The 21,817-nt window shown below is 38.4% G+C and overlaps 1 protein-coding gene across 51 annotated transcripts in view; it reads left to right on the top strand.

Moving 5' to 3' along the window:
• Nucleotides 1–21,817, top strand: part of FANCI (FA complementation group I) — a 73,281-nt gene that overhangs the window by 19,845 nt on the left and 31,619 nt on the right. For all 51 annotated transcript variants that reach the window (XM_047432789.1, XM_047432806.1, XM_047432815.1 and 48 more), the window contains 11 exons: nt 80–203; nt 699–784; nt 4,576–4,702; nt 9,554–9,646; nt 10,345–10,481; nt 12,888–13,068; nt 14,864–14,951; nt 17,347–17,477; nt 17,942–18,012; nt 19,313–19,427; nt 21,273–21,395. In XM_047432789.1, the coding sequence (XP_047288745.1) occupies nt 80–203; nt 699–784; nt 4,576–4,702; nt 9,554–9,646; nt 10,345–10,481; nt 12,888–13,068; nt 14,864–14,951; nt 17,347–17,477; nt 17,942–18,012; nt 19,313–19,427; nt 21,273–21,395 (1,276 nt within the window). The remainder of the gene's footprint in view (nt 1–79; nt 204–698; nt 785–4,575; nt 4,703–9,553; nt 9,647–10,344; nt 10,482–12,887; nt 13,069–14,863; nt 14,952–17,346; nt 17,478–17,941; nt 18,013–19,312; nt 19,428–21,272; nt 21,396–21,817) is intronic.

A 21,817-nucleotide genomic window follows, 5' to 3' on the forward strand; every position in this document is an offset into this window, starting at 1 on the left:
ACTGTAAAGCCCTGAATTGAATTTCTGAAAACAAGGCAGTTAGACACTGTCTATAGCCTTTAGAATCTTTGATCCACAGGGATGTCCCTCTGACTGCAGAAGAGGTGGAATTTGTGGTGGAAAAAGCATTGAGCATGTTCTCCAAGATGAATCTTCAAGAAATACCACCTTTGGTCTATCAGCTTCTGGTTCTCTCCTCCAAGGTACAAATGGAAAATTGTTTCTCCTTAGTTCTGGTGGTATGACCAGTTATGACCATTCAACTTATTCATACCCTTGGTTTATATAGCAGAGCAAACATAGCCGAACATAGATGCTTTCATTTCACGTGAGCAAACATAGCCGAACATAGATGCTTTCATTTCACATATAGTGGTTTGGTCTGGTAAAAGGATCATACTTCTCATCCAAGGAAAACATGCATTATCTCTTGTATTGCCACATTTTCTTTGCGGAGGTAAAAGGGATAAAGATCTCAGAAAGGGTAGACTATAGGCCCCATAAATTCTTACAGTAAGAGGTATTTCAAATCTTGTTTCAACATGAAAGTGTTCTATACATTCTTAGTTTGAGTCTAAGTCATAGATTATTTATTTAAATTTGTACTGGAGAATTCTTTAAGCTGAAAACTACTTTGAATTCAAATTGGTTATTTTGCTGTTAATTGGGAGACCTTACCAATTTTGTATTGTTTTCAGGGAAGCAGAAAGAGTGTTTTGGAAGGAATCATAGCCTTCTTCAGTGCACTAGATAAGCAGCACAATGAGGAACAGAGTGGTGACGAGTGAGTAATATAGTGTAGAAATAAAGATCATTTTTACAAATTCATCTTCTCATTGTGTATTTTAGCTATTTCATTTTCTTCTCTCTCACCGCCTACCTTCACCTCAGCACAAAACTTTTCTAATCTTCTCTTAGCTACTCAGTAATAAAGAGAATAACATGATCTCTTCAGCTCTTTCATTTTCACCTTTCCAGGAAAATAATTGTCCTATAAGCTGCAAGTTTAAAACCTATTTATTAGGTGTCAGCTCTCTGCCAGGAACTGTTTAGCCTTGGGGCTACCGTGCTGAACCAGTCAGACAATGTCCCTGCTCTTGTAGAACTTCAATTTTAGTGAGAAGAGGAAAGAAAATAAATAACAAGAAAAATGTTATAGTAAAAGTGCTATGCAGGTAATTCAAATGGATGATCTACCACTGACAGTATAGCTACTTTAGATTGGGTCAGGGAAAACCTCTCTCAGATGTGCTATTTTAACTGAAGCCTGAATGATAAGATCCATAATATATAGATCAGAGAACATTCTCAGGTAGGGAAATAATACAAAGGCAGAAGAACAGTGTGACATGTCTGAGAAAGAGGATTTTGGGTTTTTTTTGTTTCATTTTGTTTTGTTTTTGAGACAGAGTGTAGCTCTGTGGCCCAGGCTGGAGTACATTGGCATGATCTCAGCTCACTGCATCTTCCACCTCCCAGGTTCAAGTGATTCTCCTGCCTCAGCCTCCTGAGTATCTGGTACTACAGGTGCGCACCACTACGCCCAGCTAATTTTTGTATTTTTAGCAGAGACAGGGTTTGCCATGTTGGCCAGGCTGGTCTCAAACTCCTGGCCTGAAGTGATTCACCCTCCTCGGTCTCTCAAAGTGCTGGGATTACAGACATGAGCCACTGTGCCTGGCCAAGGATTTTTGTTTTTTCTTTCTTTCTTTTTTTTTGAGATGGGGTCTCACTCTGTTGCCCAGACTGGAGTGCAGTGGTACGATCTCGGCTCAGTGCAACCTCCACCTCCTGGGTTCAAGAGATTCTCCTCCCTCAGCCTCCTGAGTAGCTGAGATTGCAGGCATGCGCCACCACGCCCAGCTAACTTTTTGTATTTTTAGTAGCGATGGGGTTTCACCATGTTGGCCAGGCTGGTCTTGAACTGACCTCAGGTGATCCACCTGCCTCGGCCTCCCAAAGTGCTGGGATCACAGGCGTGAGCCACCGTGCCTGGCCGGATTTTTTGTTTTTTAAGCAAACATTTGTAGGATGTTCATTCTGTGCCAGGGGCTATTCTAAGCACTTTAAACCTCACAACCCTATTTTACCTCTACTTTATGGATATGGAAATCGAGAGACAAAGAATTTAGTTAGTTTGGCTTGAGCAATTTATTAGAGGTGGTTTCTTATTTCTTTTTTTTTTTTTTTTTTAAGAGTGTCTTGCCCTGTTGTCCAGGTTGGAGTACAGTGGCACCATCATAGCTCACTACAGCCTCCAATTCCTGGGCTCAAGTGACCCTCCAGCCTCTGCTTCCCAAGTAGCTGGGACTATAGGCACGTGACACCAAGCCTGGCTACTGTTTTTTTTTTTTTTTTTTGAGATGGAGTCTCTGTCACCCAGGCTGGAGTACAGTGGTGTGATCTCGGCTCACTGCAACCTCTGCTTCCCAAGTTCAAGTGATTCTCTTGCCTCAGCCTCCCAAGTGGCTGGCATTACAGGCACCCACCACTATGCCTGGCTAATTTTTTTTTTTTTTTTTTGAGAGGAAGTCTCACTGTGTTGCCCAGGCTGGAGTACATTGGCATGATGTCAGGTCACTGCAAACTCTGCCTCCTGGGTTCAAGCGATCCTCCTGCCTCAGCCTCCCTAGTAGCTGGGGTTACAGGTGCGTGCCACCACGCCCGGCTACTTTTTGTATTTTTAGTAGAGACGGGCTTTCACCATATTGGCCAGGCTGGTCTCGAACTCCTGACCTCAAGTGATCCGCCTACCTTGGCCTCCCAAAGTGCTGGGATTACAGGCGTGAGCCACTGCACCTGGCCCAAGCCTGGCTAATTTTAAAAATTTTTTCTAGAGATGGTCTCACTGTGTTGCCCAGGCTGGTCTTGAACTCCTAGCTTCAGGCGATCTCCTGCCTCAGCCTCCCAAAGTGCTGGAATTACAGGAGCAAGCTGCCACACCCAGCAGAGAAGGTGGTCTTAGATACTAAATTAGAATAAGCTGACAGAGAATCAGATTTTGGAGAAAATAATTAGCTCACTTTTTTTTTTTTAATTAGCTCACTTTTGACCACACTAGGTTTGAGATATATATTAGGGTCCCATAAGGAGATATTAAGCAGGTACTCTGGAGTAGTAGGGAGAGGGCTGAACTGGGGATAAGACTGGAAGGGACTAAAGCCAAGAGACTGGATGGGATTATCAAGGGAAAGCATGAAGAAAAACCTAAGACTGAGTTCAGAGGCATTCCACCATTTCAAGGTCAAGCACTTTGGGAGGCCGAGGCAGGCAGATTGCTTGAGCTCAGGAGTTCAAGACCAGCCTGGATGACATGGTAAAAACCTATCTCTACAAAAAGTACAAAAATAGCCAGGCGCAGTGGCTCATGCCTGTAGTCCCAACTACTTGGGAGGCTGAGGCAGGAGAATCACTTGAGCTCAGGAGGCGGAGGTTGCAGTGAGCTGAGATTGCACCTTTGCATTCCATCCTGGGCAATGGGAGTGAATCCTTGTCTCAAAAAAAAAAAATTTTTTTTTTTTTTTTTGAGAAGAGGCCAGTGATGATGCCCTGGAAGCTAAGAGAAGAAAATTTTTCAAGAAAGAAGTAGTTAATTGTGTCAGATCTGAGATGTTAATTAAGATGGGACTTTATTGTTTTTGACAACTTGGAGGTCATTTGTGACCCTTGAAAAAATAATCTAATGTTATTGTGGGGGTGAGGGTAGAAAGAGGATAGAAGCCTGATTGAATTGGATTGTACTGGGAAGAGATTGTGAGATAAAAAAGGAGAAATTATGACTATACACATTTATTTTACGAAATCTTGTAAAAAGAAGCAGAGTCTGGGCACAGTGAATCGTGCCTGTGATCCCAACGTTTTGGGAGGCTGAGGCATGAGAATCACTTGAGCCCAGGAGTTCAAAACCAGCTGGGCAATATAGTGAAACTCCATCTCTACCAAAAAATAGAAAAATTAGCCGGGCATAGTGGCACATGCCTGTAGTCCCAGCTACTCAGGAGGCTGAGGTGGGAGGATCGTTTGAGCCTGGGAGGTTGAGGCCACAGTGAGCTATGATCATGCCATTGCACACCAGCCTGAGTGACAGAGCGAGACCCTGTCTCAGATAAATAGATGGATAGATAGATAGACAGACAGACAGGAGCAGAAAATTGGGCAGTAGAATTTCTAGTAAACACCTGCCTTCAGTGATTGTATGAGTTTAGCTTGAGTTGGTCTACTTGCTCATCGTAGCACCTGTCCTTGTCTCTCACTCAAAAACCATAGCTCATACCTTTTTTTTGTTGTTGTTGAGACAGGGTCTCTCTGTTGCCTAGGCTGAAGTGCAATGGCACAATCTTGGCTCACGGCAACGTCCACCTTCCGGGCTGAAGCAATCCTCCCACCTCAGCCTCCCAAGTAGCTGGGACTATAGGAATGCCACCACATCGGGCTGATTTTTTTGTATTTTTAGTAGAGGCTGGTCTTGAACTCCTGGGATCAAGTGATGCGCCCGCCTTGGCCTCCCAAAGTGCTGGCATTACAGGCATGAGCCACTGCACCTTATAGCTCATAACTTTCTGTTGAATCTTTTAGGCTATTGGATGTTGTCACTGTGCCATCAGGTGAACTTCGTCATGTGGAAGGCACCATTATTCTACACATTGTGTTTGCCATCAAATTGGACTATGAACTAGGCAGAGAACTCGTGAAACACTTAAAGGTAGCATCAAACTTGTAAGGTGATCTGGGTCTCTTTTGAATGAAAGTGTTTGAACTTAAGCCACTGTTATGCCAGTTAATGACAGGAAATAAATACTGTAAAATGACCCTGGGTGTGGAGGATCTCTTTTTTTTTTTTTACTTTAAAAGTGGAAAATACATGATGTTACCACACTCCCTTTTTTTTAATGTCCTCACTTTAGCAGTATACCACATCCTTAAGCAAGCCAGAAAGTTCTATTTAAAAAAACCCTCAAAAGTTCTAACGCAAAAAAGTGGGAAAAAAGGTGAGAACTATTCAGCAGGAAACTCAAAATCTAATTCTAAGTAGATTATGTGTCACTGTCTTATGTGACCTTCAGCTATGGCCTCTGCTTTCTCATTTATGAACTAGGATGTTGCATCTAGTAGTATATCGTGGAGTTGTGTGATGCTAAGTCATTCATCATGAAGTATTTGTAAAGCAGTAAAATAAAACTCAGAAGTGTTTTAAACTATATTAAAAGTAGTGTACAGATATATTTGTTCCTCCAACTTTTTAGTTTGAAAATTCTAACTCAGAAAAGTTAAAACACTACATAGCGTGAAGAACACCTATGTTCCCTTCACCTAGATTGACCAATTATTAGACACTTTGCCACATTTACCTCACTTTTTCTCTCATACATATTCTTTTTCTGAACATTTAAAAGTAAGATGCAGAAACCCAAACCCTAACACTTCAATGCCTGAATATTTCAGCATGCTAAGAATAAGGACACATTATCACAATACCATCATCACATCTAAGAAAATTAACAATAATTCCATAATATTATTTAATTTATATTCCCTATTCACATTTTCACAGTTGTCTCTAAAATGTCTTTTGCAGCTGTGTTTTTTTTTTCCTCTGCTCCAGGCTCTCATCAGGCTTCATGCATTGCATTTGGTTGTTCTTTCTTTCTAGTTTTAGACTGATTTTTTTGAAGCATCAGCCCACTTGTCTTGTGTAATGTCCCACATTTTTGGATTTATCTGATTGTTTCCTCACGATTGGGTTCAAGTTAAACATTTTTGGCAAGAATACTTCGTAAGTGATGTGTACATTTTCTTGCAAGGGCCAGATACTAATATTTTACACTTTGCAGGCCATGCAGGTTCTGTCACAACTACTCAGCTTTACGGTTCCAGCAAGAAGGCAGCCATAGACAAAATGTACTAACGAGTGTGGCTGTTTTCCCATTTATGGACACTGAAATCTGAATTTTATTCCGTTTTTATATTGTGGGATATTATTCTTCCTTTGATTTGTTTTTTTTTTTTGGACAGAGTCTCACTGTGTCACCCAAGCTAGAGTGCCGTGGCCCAATCTTGGCTCACTGCAACCTCCACCTCCCAGGTTCAAGTGATTCTCATGCCTCAGCCTCCCAAGTAGCTGGGACTACAAGTGCGTGCCACCACGCCTGGCTAATTTTCGTATTTTTAATAGAGGTGGGGTTTCGCCATATTGGCCAGGCTGGTCTTCAACTCCTGGCCTCAAGTGATCTGCCTGCCTTGGCCTCCCAAAGTGCTGAGATTACAGGCGTGAGCCACTGCACTGGCCTTCCTTTGATTTTTTTTTTCCCCCAACCATTTAAAACCATAAAAACCAGTGTTAGCTCATGGGTTGCACAAAAACAGGTAGTGGGTTGGATTTGGCCAACAGGCTGTATGTAGTTTGCCAACCACTGTTCTGTGCATTACATCAGGAGGAACATAGTATTAGCTACCTTACTATTTGTGAGGCTGAATCATTTGCTTTTAAGAAAATGACCATTGATTTTCTTCATTTATAGGTACATATGTATCCCTTTGTATTAGAAAGAAATCTATAGGATCATAGTTCGAGATAGTATTCAAAATCCTTTTCCCAACAACATTTCACAGAAGGTTTTCGTTTTCCCATCTATTGATGATTCTTGGCCTAAATCAGTAATTATACCAGGAATTCAAATTTTATATCTTATTTTTTTTTTCTTTTTTTTGTCCTCACAATCTGTTCCCAAGGAATTCTAATTTTAATTAGAAAATTTTAATTGCATCTTTCTTTCGGCATTATTAGCTGGCATTCTTCTGTAAAAAGAGCCTCTCCTTTCCCTATTGTTTTGAATATCATTATGCACTCATGAACCTTTTTAAATTCAATGTACTTATTATTCATTACTGTCATTATTTGTTTTGAGCACAAAATTACCCAAATTTAGCCAGTTGGATCCTTCAAGTCAGCTTATGTGTTCTTTTGATGTGACCCCATTTAGTCTTTGAGCTTGTGGCATGATATGCCCAAGGCTCACCATAGTACTTTCTTTGCCCCATCCTGATGCTAGCCATGTCTCTAAAAAGCCCTGGGTCCCTTCTGTAGGAAAGGATATTTAAAGACCATAATCTGAGTAGGCTTTAAAACTTCTTTATCTTCTCTGTATCTGTTCACTCTTTTTTTAAATTTAGGTTCGTAGTAACTATATTGCTGGCCTTTTTACCAGCTTTATGTATTTTGATCCAGTCTGTTGTTTTCTTTTTGTTTTCCATTTGATTGCTGTTTTATTTTACATTTTTTTTGTTTTACTAGTATCTTTTCTAGGCCTTGAAAATGTATTCTTTAAACTTTTTGAGGCACAATTTACATAGCACAAAATTATTTTATTCTAAGCATGCAATCCAGTGATTTTTTTTCATAAATTTACCTAGTTTTGTAACTGTCACTATAATCCAATTTTAGAACATTTTTTATCACCCTGTAAGATCTTTTATGCCCATTTAATCTGCATTAGCACTCCCAGTCCCAGGTAACCACTAATCTACTTTCTGTCTCTATAGATTTACCTTTCCTAGATATTTTGTATAAATGGAATTATATGATATGTGGTCTTTTGTGTATGTCTTCTTTCATTAAGTGTAATGTTTTCAGGATTCACCTGTGTTGTAGCGTATGTCAGTATTTCATTTCTTTTTATTGTTTTGTTTGTTTTAGGAGACATGGTCTCACTCTGTCACCTAGGGTGGAGTGCAATATCATGATCATGGCTCACTGCACCCTCAAACTCCTGGCCTCAAGTGATCCTCCCACTGTAGAGTTCTGACTAGCTAGGACCGCAGGCGCACACCACCATGCCTGGCTAATTTGTAAACAATTTTTTTAAGAGATGGAGGTCTTGCTGTGAACTCCTGACCTCAAGTGATCCTCCTGCCTCAGCCTCCTGAGTAGCTGGGATTACAGGTGTGAGCTACCATATCAGGCTCATTTCTTTTTATTGTTGAATAGTATTCCATTGTGTGGATATATATGAGTTTTGTTTAGCAGTCTCCCAGCTGGTGGACATTTGAATTGTTTCTACTGTTTGGCTATTACAAATAATGCTGCCACTAACATTCAAATGTAAGTCTTTGTGTGGACATACATTTTATTTCTTTTGTGCATATATCCAGGAGTAGAACTGCTGGCTTATATGAGAAATTTATGTTTATATTTTTAAGAAACTGCCTGTTTTCCAAAACGGTATCATTTTACATTCCCACTATCACTATGTGAGGGTTCCTATTTCTCTGTGTCTTGGCCAACATTTGTTATTGTCTGTCTTTTTTATTATATCCATTCTAATGGGTATGAAACAGTACCTCATTGAGGTTTAACTTTGCATTTTCTTAATGACTGATGATAATTGAGCATCTTTTCATGTGCTCATTAACTGTTCTAATACCTTCTTTGGTGAAATGTCTATTCAAATCTTTTGCCCGTTTTTTGAGTGTGTTGTTTGTCTTCTTAATTAAAATTCTTTGTATATTCTACTGACAAGCTCTTTTTTATTTTTTCAATAACTTTGTTATGAATGGTGACAAGTTCTTTATCAGGTATATAATTAGCAAATATTTTTTCTCAGTCTGTGACTTGTCTTTTTATTTTCTTAATGGTATCTTTTGAAGTACAAAAGTTTTAAATTTTGGTGAGGTCCAGTTTATCAATTTTTTCTTGTAGAAATTATGCTTTTGGTATTGTATGTAAGCAATCTTTACTTAATCCAAGGTCTTGAAATTTTTCTATATGTTTTCCTCTAAAAATATTACAATTTTTGCTCTTACATTTGGATTTCTGATCCATTCAAGGACCTATTTTTATTTTTTATTACTATTAAAAAATGTTTTTTATGTCTCTCGAGTCATAAGGACTTTTTTGGGGGATGCAGTGGCGCAATCTGAGCTCACTGCAACCTTCGCCTCCCAGATTCAAGTGATTCTCCTGCCTCAACCTCCCGAGTAGCTGGGATTACAGGTGTGTGCCACCACTCCCAGCTAATTTTTGTACTTTACAAGACAGGGTTTCACCATGTTGGCCAGACTGATCTTGAACTCCTGACCTCAAGTGACCCACCTGCCTCAGTCTCCCAAAGTGCTGGCATTACAGGCATAAGCCACCACACCCGGCCAAGGGACTTACTGTTAAATAGGCTGTTATACTTTTAAGATGTATGTAATGGGACCAGGTGTGGTGGTTCACACCTGTAATCCCAGCACTTTGAGAGACCAAGGTGGGAGGATCACTTGAGGCCAGGAGTTTGAGACTCTCCTGGGCAACATAGTGAGACTTCATCTCTCCAAAAAAATTAAAAATTAAAAATTAAAAAATTAGCCAGGCATGGTATAGTCCCAGCTACTTGGGAGGCTAAGCCAGGAGGATCCGTTGAGCCTGGGAAATCAAGGCTGCAGTGAGCTATGATTGCATCACTGCACTCTAGCCTGGGCAACAGAGAGACCCAATCTTTTTTTTTTTAAAAAAAAAAAAAAAAGAAAAAAGAAAATGTAAGTAAATGACTTCCTTTTGGTTGCTCTCTTCTAGGTAGGACAGCAAGGAGATTCCAATAATAACTTAAGTCCCTTCAGCATTGCTCTTCTTCTGTCTGTAACAAGAATACAAAGATTTCAGGACCAGGTATTTTTTTAAAATGCCATTTTGTTTCTTTCTGTAGTTGGTAAAAAAAAAAAAAAAAAAAAAAAATCACAGTAATCTGTTTTTGTTGTATCCGTTCCTAAACAATTTTATCCCCTTCCTGCCAGCAGCAAAGCTGCAATAAGACATGTATGTCCCCTCTGTTCTCTGGGGATTGATGGAAAACTTTTACAGGTTTTTGGTTTATTCCTCCGTTTCCTGTTGTGTGGTAAGCTAGGTAGTGAGGTGGGAATAAGAGTGGAAGGATACCACACAGCCCCAGTTGGAGGAAGGGACAATTTAGCTGGATATTCACCAGCAGTTTTACTATGTTGTAGCTTTCCAAGAGTAGGTTAGTTGCAAGGATGAAATTTACAATTTTTTTCTTATATGTGTTCCAGGTTGTGGGTAATATTTATATTGACTTTTAGCCTTTTTTCCCCCTTTTTTCTTAAGGAAGGCTTGTCTTCAGCTCCTTAAAGTTCCCACTGAATGTCATAATTTTTGTAACATCTTCATCTAGTTAAAATAGTTGTCATAGGGATATATGTGAATGGCAGCTCATAGGAACAGTTATAAGGTTAAGATTTATAGCATGAGCTATATAATATTTGCTTTATTTTCTTATTTCTTTCATTCTGTTAGGTGCTTGATCTTTTATTTATTTATTTTTTCATTTATTTTTATTAACTATACTCAAGGTGCTTGATCTTTTAAAGACTTCGGTTGTAAAGAGCTTTAAGGATCTTCAACTCCTCCAAGGCTCAAAATTTCTTCAGAATCTAGTTCCTCATAGATCTTATGTTTCAACCATGATCTTGGAAGTAGTGAAGAATAGGTAAGTTGGTGAACCATATCTCAAAAGGTTTATAAGGTGTTTAATGTTAGAAAATGCAATGTGATATCATACTTGCAGCCTGTGAGGGGAAACTGATGACTTAACAGCTGTTGACGTCACACATCGAGGTTCATTTTCTTAAAACTGGTAGAGGATACTTTTTCCCTATGGAAATATCCTTGAATCTCAGGCCCTGGTTTCTTGGCCACCTTGACAGCAAGCATACAAAACTGAATTAGTTGCTTTTGTTTATTCCATGATATTACAATTCTCTATTTTCCTTTTCTTTCTTTCCTTTTTTTTTTTTTTTTTTTTTTTGAGACAGAGTCTCACTCTGTCACCGAGGCTGGAGTGTAGTGCCACAATCTTGGCTCACTGCACCCTTGACCTCCTGGGCTCAAGCAATCCTCCCACCTGAACCTCTCGAGTACCTGGTATTACAGGCATGCTCCACCATGCCCAAGTAATTTTTGCGTTTTTTGTAGAGACAGAGTTTCGCCATATTGCCCAGGCTGGTCTTGAACTTCTGAGCTCAAGCAATCCACCTGCCTTGGCCTCCCAAAGTGCTGGGATTACAGGCTTGAGCCACCGGTCCTGGCCGTTTCTTTTCCTTTTTAAAGGAAACAGTCTCACTATGTTGCCCAGGCTGGAGTGCAATGGCTATTCACAGGCTCTATTATAGCACGGTAAAGCCTCAAACTCCTGGCCTCAAGTGATGCTCCCACCTCAGTAGCTGGGACTATAGGCATGTAGCCCTGTGCCTGGCTTGGCCTTTCTTCTTTTTTTTTTTTTTTTTTTTCTGAAGACGTAGGAACTTTTCACTATGTTGCCCAGGCTAGACTTGATCTTCTGGGCTCAACTGATCCTCCTGCCTCAGCCTCTCAAGTAGCTGGGACAATAATAGGTGCATGCCACTGCATCTGACTCATGGCCTCTTTTTAAAGTGAGTAAAAAACATTAAGAGTTTTATTTACTTTGTTGAAATTTGGAGCGTACAGTTGGAATTCAATTATTGATTAGCCAGTTTAGAGAAATTCATTTAAAACCACATGGAAAACATCAGTAACTGTCCTGGTTTTTATTTTAATTTCAGGATATACATTAGCTGTTGTAACAGTCTTTACTATGTCATGCTTTCACTGTGTATTAAATATATTTTAAAGTTTCATAATTTAAGCATAATTTATGGTAGGCCTCTTCTAGGCCTGGAATTCTTGTTTATTAATAGATTGAATTTACATGAGCTTTGCAGTAGGGCAAATTTGAAATTAGAGTTTATTGTTTGAGTGTTTTACCCATTGTTAGGCCTTAAAGCTTTTTAATCTTTGTATCTCATTATTCTTTTTCCTGAGGTTTATACTTGTGTCTCCAGTATTTTCCCAACCCAATCTCTTAAAGTTGGGCTAAAGAAGGAGGTACTCACTAACCAGGAAATTCCTGGAAAGCTTCCCATCTTCTGGAAATCTCAACTGTCATAGGACTTGAAAGCATCTCCATGTATAATTAGCCTGGAGTGGGTACTTGCCACTGGGTGGGACCAAACCTCAGCTGGGAGAGATTTGGATAGCCTTATTAGATCCTCTAAAATAACTGGCTGGTTAGTTACACATGCTTGCCCCAGTCAGTTAATGAACCTTTAAATAATGCATTCTCCATTTTATGTAATTGAATTTTTGGCTCTTCAGAGTATGAATATTGTTAACTCTGTTAAAGTCTTATAATTTATCCATAACTGTCTACTTCATTCTGTAGTGCTGCATTATAATTTGTTGCAATTTAACAGGTAGATATAATGGATAAAGGTTATATTCACATTATTTCCACTGTGGGGTATAACATTAAGTGGTATAAAACCACCAATGATTCTACTCTTTTACAAAAGATTATTTGTAGTTTTAGCTTATGCTGTTGATACCAGATCACTCATCCATTTATAGTATAAATATCTACTGAGTGTCTTTTATATGCCACCCTTGTGCTAAGCAATGTGGGTAAAAATATGACTATACTATGACCTCTCTCCTAGAGAATCTCTGTCTTTGGAGGGGAGCTAATTTGTAAGCCTCTACATAAGCGTTGTCAGTGCTGTAGGGTAATAGAAGAGGCAGCAATGAACTTCTCATCATGAAATCTTGAATAGGAATCTTTAATTTTTTTAATACTCTCTAGCTTCTGGATTTTCCCAGTATTCTGTGTGTCATTGGAGACCACTTGCCTGCTGTTCCCATTATGGTACATTTAGGAATTCAGAATTCTGTCAGACGATGTGTGTAAAGAAAAGGTTTATATGCAGAGTACGTTGATTATCTAGGTCAAGTTTGGGAAATGTATAACAGGGCAATGAGTATAAAGGTAAGAATATCTCACTAAGTTTTTCTTTTTTAACTAAGCTTTGTGTTCTTGTAGCGTTCATAGCTGGGACCATGTTACTCAGGGCCTCGTAGAACTTGGTTTCATTTTGATGGATTCATATGGGCCAAAGAAGGTTCTTGATGGAAAAACTATTGAAACCAGCCCAAGTCTTTCTAGAATGCCAAACCAGCATGCATGTAAGCTCGGAGCTAATATCCTGTTGGAAACTTTTAAGGTGAGACACTATTTTGGCAACCACTCCCTAATTTTGTTTAAATAATCCAAGTAGGGCTTGGCATTTGCCTGGGAGTTTGGTGGACAAGGAAATTTGAGTATGTATTAGTTTGACAGAGGATATATGACAGAGATTAGGATAATATTGAAACATTATAGATCCAGTTTGATGGAATACTTACTTACGTATTCTTCTATGTAAGTTTTTCATTTATTCCACTTAATCCAATTGTTTCTGACCTAGAAGTTTGAATATAAGACAGCTTTTTCATGATTTTTCCTTCTTCTTCCAGAAGTAAACCATTTCTAGTTTTTGTTTTGTTTTGTTTTAATGCTGTTCCTTTACACAGAAGAAATTTTTTTAGGTCACTGTAGAGCATCAAGCTTAAAGAATCATGCTTAAGAATTTTTACTGAAAATAAAACAAAAAAAGAATCATGCTTGGTCGGGCATGGTGGCTCAAGCCTATAATCCCAACACTTTGGGAGGCTGAGGTGGGCAGATCACTTGAGCTCAGGAGTTTGAGACCAGCCTGGGCAACGTGGCGAAACCTCATCTCTACAAAAAACACAAAAATTAGCCAGGTGTGGTGGCACGCACCTGCAGTCCCAGCTACTTAGGTGACTGAGGTGGATCACTTGAGCCCAGGAAGTCAAGGCTACAGTGAGCTGTGTTTGCACCACTGCACTCCAGCCTGGGTAACAAAGTGAGATCCTATCTCAAAAAAAAAAAAAAAAAAAAAGAATCATACTTATTGGTTCATTGTTTCTGAAGAAACCAAAATGGGAAATGTACATTTTTTTGACATTATTACCAAATTATCACTGACATCTCAATCTTAATTACTGAAACAGTTTTCAAAAATTTATTTTCTCTTGAATAAAAAAATGCTAGATCATATCTGAGGTTAAACAACTTTTCTAGTAATTCCTCTAAGTCTTCTTGATGTTCAATTGTTTAATGTAGCTACACACCAAGAGTGTCTGCTGAAAATGTTTATTTGGGAGGCTGATCTAAATGTAAATCTAGTGTTCTAATCCAGAACTATGAAGTAAATGTCAGAATAGTTCTTGAGAGTTATCAGTGTATTTGATGATATAAATTACCCTGCTTAACAGTGATATTGTTAAAGACATTATCTTAGAGTATGTTTTTATATTTAAATTATTATTTTTCAAAACTAAAGAGGCTCCATTTGATTTCACATGGATGTCGGCTTTATCAAGGCATCTTTATAAATTGCTACTAAGTCACTAACAGTCTGAGGTCTGAACGAATTAGTCTGTACCATAAAGTAATCAAGTTGAAGTAAGAATTTTAACTACAATTCAAGTGAAAATTCAGAATGGGTCTTTTTAACAGCAACTGCTGTGCTTCTAGAAACTGAGAAAGGGGTTAGGGAAGATCTTTTAAGTTTCTAGAAATCTTCATGGGCTTTTACATTTTAATTTTTAGAATAAAAGTTATGTATACTGTCAGGAATATGGATATTGTCAGGTAATGGATACCTAAGTAGAATTGATCCTGTTTGATGCTGAACCTTATATGTAGCAATAGTTTAATGTGATCTGTACTTTTAGGCTAATAAACATGGTATTTATCCTACTAATGAATCATCTAAGCACAGAACAAGGGGAAAGTTGAGTGATTCTGTCTTTCCAGATGATTCACATTATATTCTGATTTTTTGAGTTTTACTCATATCCAAACGGTTCTTCATGCTGCCTGACATGCATTGATATACTTAAAAGCTGAAGGGTCACCCAGGAATATTTTATTTATTCTGTTCTTTTTAGATCCATGAGATGATCAGACAAGAAATTTTGGAGCAGGTCCTCAACAGGGTTGTTACCAGAGCATCTTCTCCCATCAGTCATTTCTTAGGTATTCAACTTTGAAAGAATGAATAAAGTTTTTAGAAATATTTTCATTTCAATGTCATAATCATTTGGTCCTGGGAAAAAAATTTTAATGAGCATTTAAATGCAGTATCTTTGATAGGATGCCAATAAAGGAAATCCATTTATGTTGTCTGGGATTGTCAGTTGTCAAAAAGGCTGTAGCTGTTAGTAAGGAAAGCAACAATTAACCAATAAGTAAAACTTCCATTTTGCTCAACATTTTCTCTTTTTGTTAATACCTCTCAAATGAGTGCTGTCCTGCTGCTGCCACTCATTGACTTCCTAGTCCTTTTAGCCTTGACATTTGGACTGCACAGTGTTTCTCTCTGGTAACCTCTGAATTTGCTGTTTTGTTGTTGTTGTTGTTGTTGTTGTTGTTGTTTCTTTTTTAGACACAGTTTCACTCTGTTGCCTGGAGTGCAGTGGCGCAATCTCAGCTCACTGCAACCTCTGCCTCCTGGGTTCACGCAGTTCTCGTGTCTCAGCCTCCTCAGTAGCTGGGATTACAGGCGCACGCTACCACACCCAGTTAATTTTTGTATTATTAGTAGAGACAGGGTTTCGCCATGCTGGCCAGGCTGGTCTCGAACTCCTGACTTCAGGTGATCCACCCACCTTAGCTTCCCAAAGTGCTGGGATTACAGGCGTGAGCCACCATGCTTGGCCTGAATTTGCTGTTTTTAATACATAACTCCTAATGTCTAAATTTACTAGCCTTCATCACAAATTTTAAAAATTTCTCCGTGTCATTCATCACTGTTTATAACTCCCCTGAAACTTTTTAGGTAAGTTCTCTGATTACTGTAAGAGTCTGCTTCTTTTCCTGCCTGTGACCAGTTTTCCTTTTACCTCAAATATAATACAGTTCCCTTCAAACAAATTTTCCTTTTCATTGCTCCTATTTCCATTATTTGAAGCATGGTTCTCCAGGTCCTGGAGGCTGGAATTACCTTTTATTTTCTCAAACACAAGTTCTGTCATTTTTCTCCCTCATACTGTCATTGTTTCTATCTTTTTATTCCCTCCTCCTCCCAACCTCACATCCAGTGTCTAATTCCTATTCTTACTACCTTGAATTTAGACTACTGCCACAGCTTTCTAACTGGTTTCCTGGCTTTTTCTTCTCCCTGCAGCAATTTAACCTGCATATTACCACACATTAGTATTCCTAAAATACCACCTTATGACTACAGAATCATCAATATGTTCTTTAGTAAATTGTCAGCTCTTTTTGTTTGTTTGTTTTTTGAGATGGAGTCTCACTCTGTCACCCAGGCTGGAGGGCAGTGGTGTGATCTCAGCTCACTGCAACCTCCGCCTCCCGGGTTCAAGCAATTCTCCTGCCTCAGCCTTGAGAGTAGCTGGGACTGCAGGCACGTGCCACCACACCCAGCTAATTTTTGTATTTTTAGTAGGGATGGTGTTTCACCATGTTGGCCAGGATGGTCTCAATCTCTTGACCTCGTGATCCACCTGCCTCAGGCTTCCAAAGTGCTGGGATTACAGGCGTGAGCCACCACACCTGGCCAAATTGTCAGCTCTTTATCCTGGCACTGAAGGTGCTTGACAAGTTGATCCCACCCTACCTTTCCATTGTTAAAGTCAGTTATTTACTTTCCTGGATTCTTCACCCCAGCATCATTGATTTCCCTACCATCTTCTGAATATGTCTTAAACTTACCTTTCTCATACCTTTACTCATACTTTTCCCTTTATATATGTAGGCCTTTCTGGTGCTTTGTGCATTTAAATGTTCCCCATCTTTTAGAACCTAGTTTAAGTTCCTTCTCCTCATTGCTTTCCTAATATATACCAACTCATAATGAGCTCTTCTTCCTTTGAACTCCTATTTAAACTCTCCCTTTACCATTTGGTAGGCAATAAACTATGTTTGGAATTAATAGATATTTGATATTGCTCTGTGATTTACCTCTTTAATTCTTTAAAAAAATTTTTTTACTTCCAACTAAATTATTAAAATTTTTGAAGAAAGACTATGTTTTATACTTTTATGTTCCTAATAGGACCATATTACGCTTGTGCATAGTAAAAATTCAGAAATATTTATTGATTTATTTTAGCTTAGAAGTAAGAAGATGTGTGCTACTACTTATGTCTAGGCAGTGTAATCGGTTTCTTCCTTTCTTTTAGGCAGTTTAATTTTTATAGAAATTGAAACTATCATAGAAAAAAGCTAAAATTATCCTGGTTACATTGGAGAAAAAGTATATATAGAATCAGTAGAAATTTGTATTGCAGTATACTTGACTTATTTGAGAAAGGAAACAAAAGACTTCACATTTCTTTCTCCGTATTTTTCTTTTATTTCAGTTATCTTTAGTTATTTGAGACAACTGATTATAGATTCTGTTTTTCAGACCTGCTTTCAAATATCGTCATGTATGCACCCTTAGTTCTTCAAAGTTGTTCTTCTAAAGTCACAGAAGCTTTTGACTATTTGTCCTTTCTGCCCCTTCAGACTGTACAAAGGCTGCTTAAGGCAGTGCAGGTAAGTCTTCAGATTCCCAAGTAACTTGCCAAAACTGAGGTTTAACTGTCTAGTGGAAGTCTGATGCATTTTTGTATAAATATATATGTCTAAGAAATTCTATTCCACTTTAGTCTGAAACATAAAATTTGCATTAAAAGGGCAAGAGCATTGAGCAAGACTGTTTTCCAGGTTTATTTCCTATCCATAACACTATTCTCTCAACTCATTTTCAAGTTAATGAAATAATTAAAACTCTCTTAGAACATTATTGACTACAATAGATTTACAGAGGCATTTGCAACCAGTTTCATTTTAGTGTTTCAGAGTATACTATTGTCCTTGTTAACTGTAATAAACATTAAAACGTATATAAAACAGAAGTAAGCTTCCTTATAGAAGCCATATGGTAACAGTATTGGGTAGAAATGACCTAAGGCTAATAAGCAAACTTGTTCTGTTTTTACCCACTGATTCTTTTTCAGCCCCTTCTCAAAGTCAGCATGTCAATGAGAGACTGCTTGATACTTGTCCTTCGGAAAGCTATGTTTGCCAAGTATGTAGCATCTTTTTCTATCATAGGAAGACGTTGTCTTCTAATGTTGGAGCTAAAGTTATCTCTGCCATCTCCTAGTACCACCTGTTCACAGTGATCATGAGAATTCCTAGCCCCGCAGAGCAATTTCATCAAATAAGGCATTTTGCTAAGTGCTTTATGTGCTTTTTTCATTTAGTCTTCAGAGCAACCCTATGAAGTAAGAATTATTGCAATTCCCATTTTACAGATAAGAAAAGTTAGGCTTAGAGAAGATGAGTGACTTTCCAAAAGTAAAACAGTAGTTGGTGGTGGAGCAAGGATTCAAAGTCAGGTCTAACATCAGAGCTTGTGATGTCAAGTACTTTGCTCTACTACATTAGAATAATCTTCAGGGTAATGTTCTAGTGTCAAATACTCTGAAACCTGAGCTGGCAGCAGTTCCAAAGGGGAAAGTACCTTAGTCAAGAAGATTATACTTAAGAATCTCATTTTAGTGAACATCTGAATTATGATCTAGAGGCTAGTAGATCAAATTAATTGTTGAGGGGAATGAGTTTTATTTGTAGCTTAGCCAGTCCCTCCTAACATCTCTTCCTTTATTTCTTAGTATATAAGCTAGAGATGATCTTGCCATCTCCTAAAAATATAAGACAGTAATATGTGAAAAGCATTTGGTACTTTGAGGATAAGATGCCCAATTAATATCACATTGGCCATATTATAATATATTCATGGGTGTCCAGAGGAACAACTAAGCCATATGCTATTATCTTTGTTCTAGAATTAAAAGTTTTTGTTACTCCTCACCCAAAGGCATAGCGAATAGACTGAGATATTACGTTGTAACATCTTTAACATGAATTAATCATTGCGCCTCAGTGAGAAGACAAGTGTGACATTTTCTGGATGGACAGTTTACATGGCATCAAATATTACATTATCCTATGATGAAAGAGAGCATATGAAGGGAAGCACTCCTTCAAACATGGCAAAATCAGCAATTTCTTACATTTGAGTAACCAGCCAATTTTACAGTCTCTCAGCAGTCTTCTTATTCCTCACATAGACTTGAGAGCAGGATAGAAGGAAGTAGAGTATCATGAGTTAAGTATTGAAAAAAGTCAGTTGAATTTCTGTACTATAAATTGCTTTGAACAGCTGATACCTTATTTTGAGTACATAAATTCACTTTGTTTTGCTCTACGCTTCATTGTTTATACATATGCCTTCTCTGTATGCAACTAGCTGGATTTTTCTGACCCAGAAGCATATTCCTGTGAAATAGTACTGTTTGTTAACTTCTCTATTTCTGAGCTAGCCAGCTTGATGCCCGAAAATCTGCAGTTGCTGGGTTTTTGCTGCTCCTGAAGAACTTTAAAGTTTTAGGCAGCCTGTCATCCTCTCAGTGCAGTCAGTCTCTCAGTGTCAGTCAGGTAAGGATTATTTACGTTAACTTGCAGTGTGTGCGTATCATTCATGTGCATCGATGAAATGCACGCTGTTTTCTTTTATTCCTGTTATGGTTGTAAGAATGATCCTAGAACTAAAGAGTCTGATGATGATGATGGTGCTGATGATGATGATGATGATGATATTGGCTAACACTCATTAATGGCAGATTTACTGTATGCTAAACTGTGCTATCCAGTATGGTAGCCACTGTCCTCAGTGTGGCTATTGAATGGAACATTTGATTGAAATGTGGCTAGTCCACATTGTGTTGTGCTATACATGCAAAATTCATACCAGATTTTGAAATAAAAGAATGTAAAAATCTAATAATTTTTAATATTGATTACATCTTCAGAGAGAATTTTGTATGTGTTGGGTTACAGAAAACATTAAAATTTGACTTTATCTCTTTCTCTTTTTTAATGTGGCTACTAGAAAATATAAAATTACATACATGGCTTGCATTTGTGGTTCATATTATATTTCTTTCTTTTTTTTTTTTTGAGACGGAGTCAGTCTGTCACCCAGGCTGGAGTGCAGTGGCGCGATCTCGGCTCACTGCAACTCACTGCAAGCTCTGCCTCCCGGGTTCACGCCATTCTCCTGCCTCAGCCTCCCGAGTAGCTGGGACTACAGGCGCCTGCTACCGTGCCTGGCTAATTTTTTGTATTTTTAGTAGAGATGGGGTTTCATTGTGTTAGTCAGGAGGTCTCGATCTCCTGACCTCGTGATCCACCCGCCTCGGCCTCCCAAAGTGCTGGGATTACAGGCGTGAACCACCACACCCGGCCCATATTATATTTCTTTTGGATAGCACGGTGCTAGATATTGTGCCAAAATGCTTTACATTTATTATCTCATTTAATCTTCACAGCAGTCCTCTGAGGCTAGATACTATTATTATCCCATTTTCTTACGTCATTGTATTTACTTTGCACAGGAACATATATTACACCTTGTAATCTGGGAAAACAAAACTTTTTATAATAATCTGGTAATCTAGGCTTTGGAGCAATAAAATTGTCTTCATAATTTAAATGATGTACTATAAGATTTATAAATAGGAGACATTTATATATAACAGTTTGACTAGGAATCCTCACTTTATTGCTTTGGTATAACTACATAAAGCTTTGTCTATAACATATAGCATAGATTAAATATTAGGAACACTAGATATCATTTGTGTGTTATTATCCCCATTTTAAAGACAGGGAAACTGAGGCTGAGCCAGGTTAAATAACTTGCCCAAGGTTATATAACCAAGAAAGGGTGGAAGAAGGATTTGGCCTCAGGCAGTATGAACTACATTACTGTGATGCCTGGAGTAAGGATTAGGAATTCTTGGTCTATAATTGCTGATTTTATTATGTAATTTACACAAAGGATGTCAGTTCTTTGTCATGTCCATTTCTAAACAAAAGACTGTCTTCCTCTCAACCTTTCTAGAATTTGTGGAATAGTGAGATTCTTCTAGCTATTGAAGAAGTCTTAGACCTTTTAAATAAAATTATGTATATTGTTACTACTGGATTCTAGTGGCTTGAAATAAGCAGTGTACCTTCCTAAGCAATTGATATTGTCAAGGAAACCTTAAGGAATATGAACAGTTAATTTTGTTAAAATGCTTAAAAATTCTCTTATTCCAAACCAGAATAAGAGTGACACTTACTACTGCATGGTAATGATTATACTGTGTGTCTCACCCCTGGGGTTTGGCATGTGGAGGAAGCTAAGTTTTTTCGACCAAGAACATAGGCTCATTTAGCTCCTTATTGGAAACAGCTTTGGTAAGATAGACGTGAATTGGCCTGTCTTCCTTTCAGGTTCATGTGGATGTTCACAGCCATTACAATTCTGTCGCCAATGAAACTTTTTGCCTTGAGATCATGGATAGTTTGAGGAGATGCTTAAGCCAGCAAGCTGATGTTCGACTCATGCTTTATGAGGTAAGTCCGTAGAATGGAAAGAATGTAGCAAAACCCCAACTAATAATTTTTATTTTAGTAATTTTTTTCCTGATTATAAAAGTACAATAGCTATGCTCTTACTTGATGTAGTCAGCACCAGTAGCTAGTGATGTTTAGTCAAAAAGTTGTTTAAGGCAGGGCACAGTGGCTCACACCTGTAATCCCAACACCTTGTGAGGCCAAGGCAGGAGGATCAAGCAAGACTCTGTCTTTACAAAAAATAAGAAAATAAAAAACATTAGCTGGGTGTGGTGGCATGCGCCCGTGGTCCCAGCTACTCAGGAGGCTGAGGCAGGAGGATCCCAGCAGTGAGGCTGCAGTGAGCTATGATCACACCACTGCCCTCCAACCCAGGCAACAGTGAGACCTTGTCTCTCAAAAAAATTTTTTTAAGGTGAGAA

Source organism: Homo sapiens, chromosome 15 (genome assembly GCF_000001405.40).
Source record: "Homo sapiens chromosome 15, GRCh38.p14 Primary Assembly".
Lineage (NCBI taxonomy): Eukaryota > Metazoa > Chordata > Mammalia > Primates > Hominidae > Homo > Homo sapiens.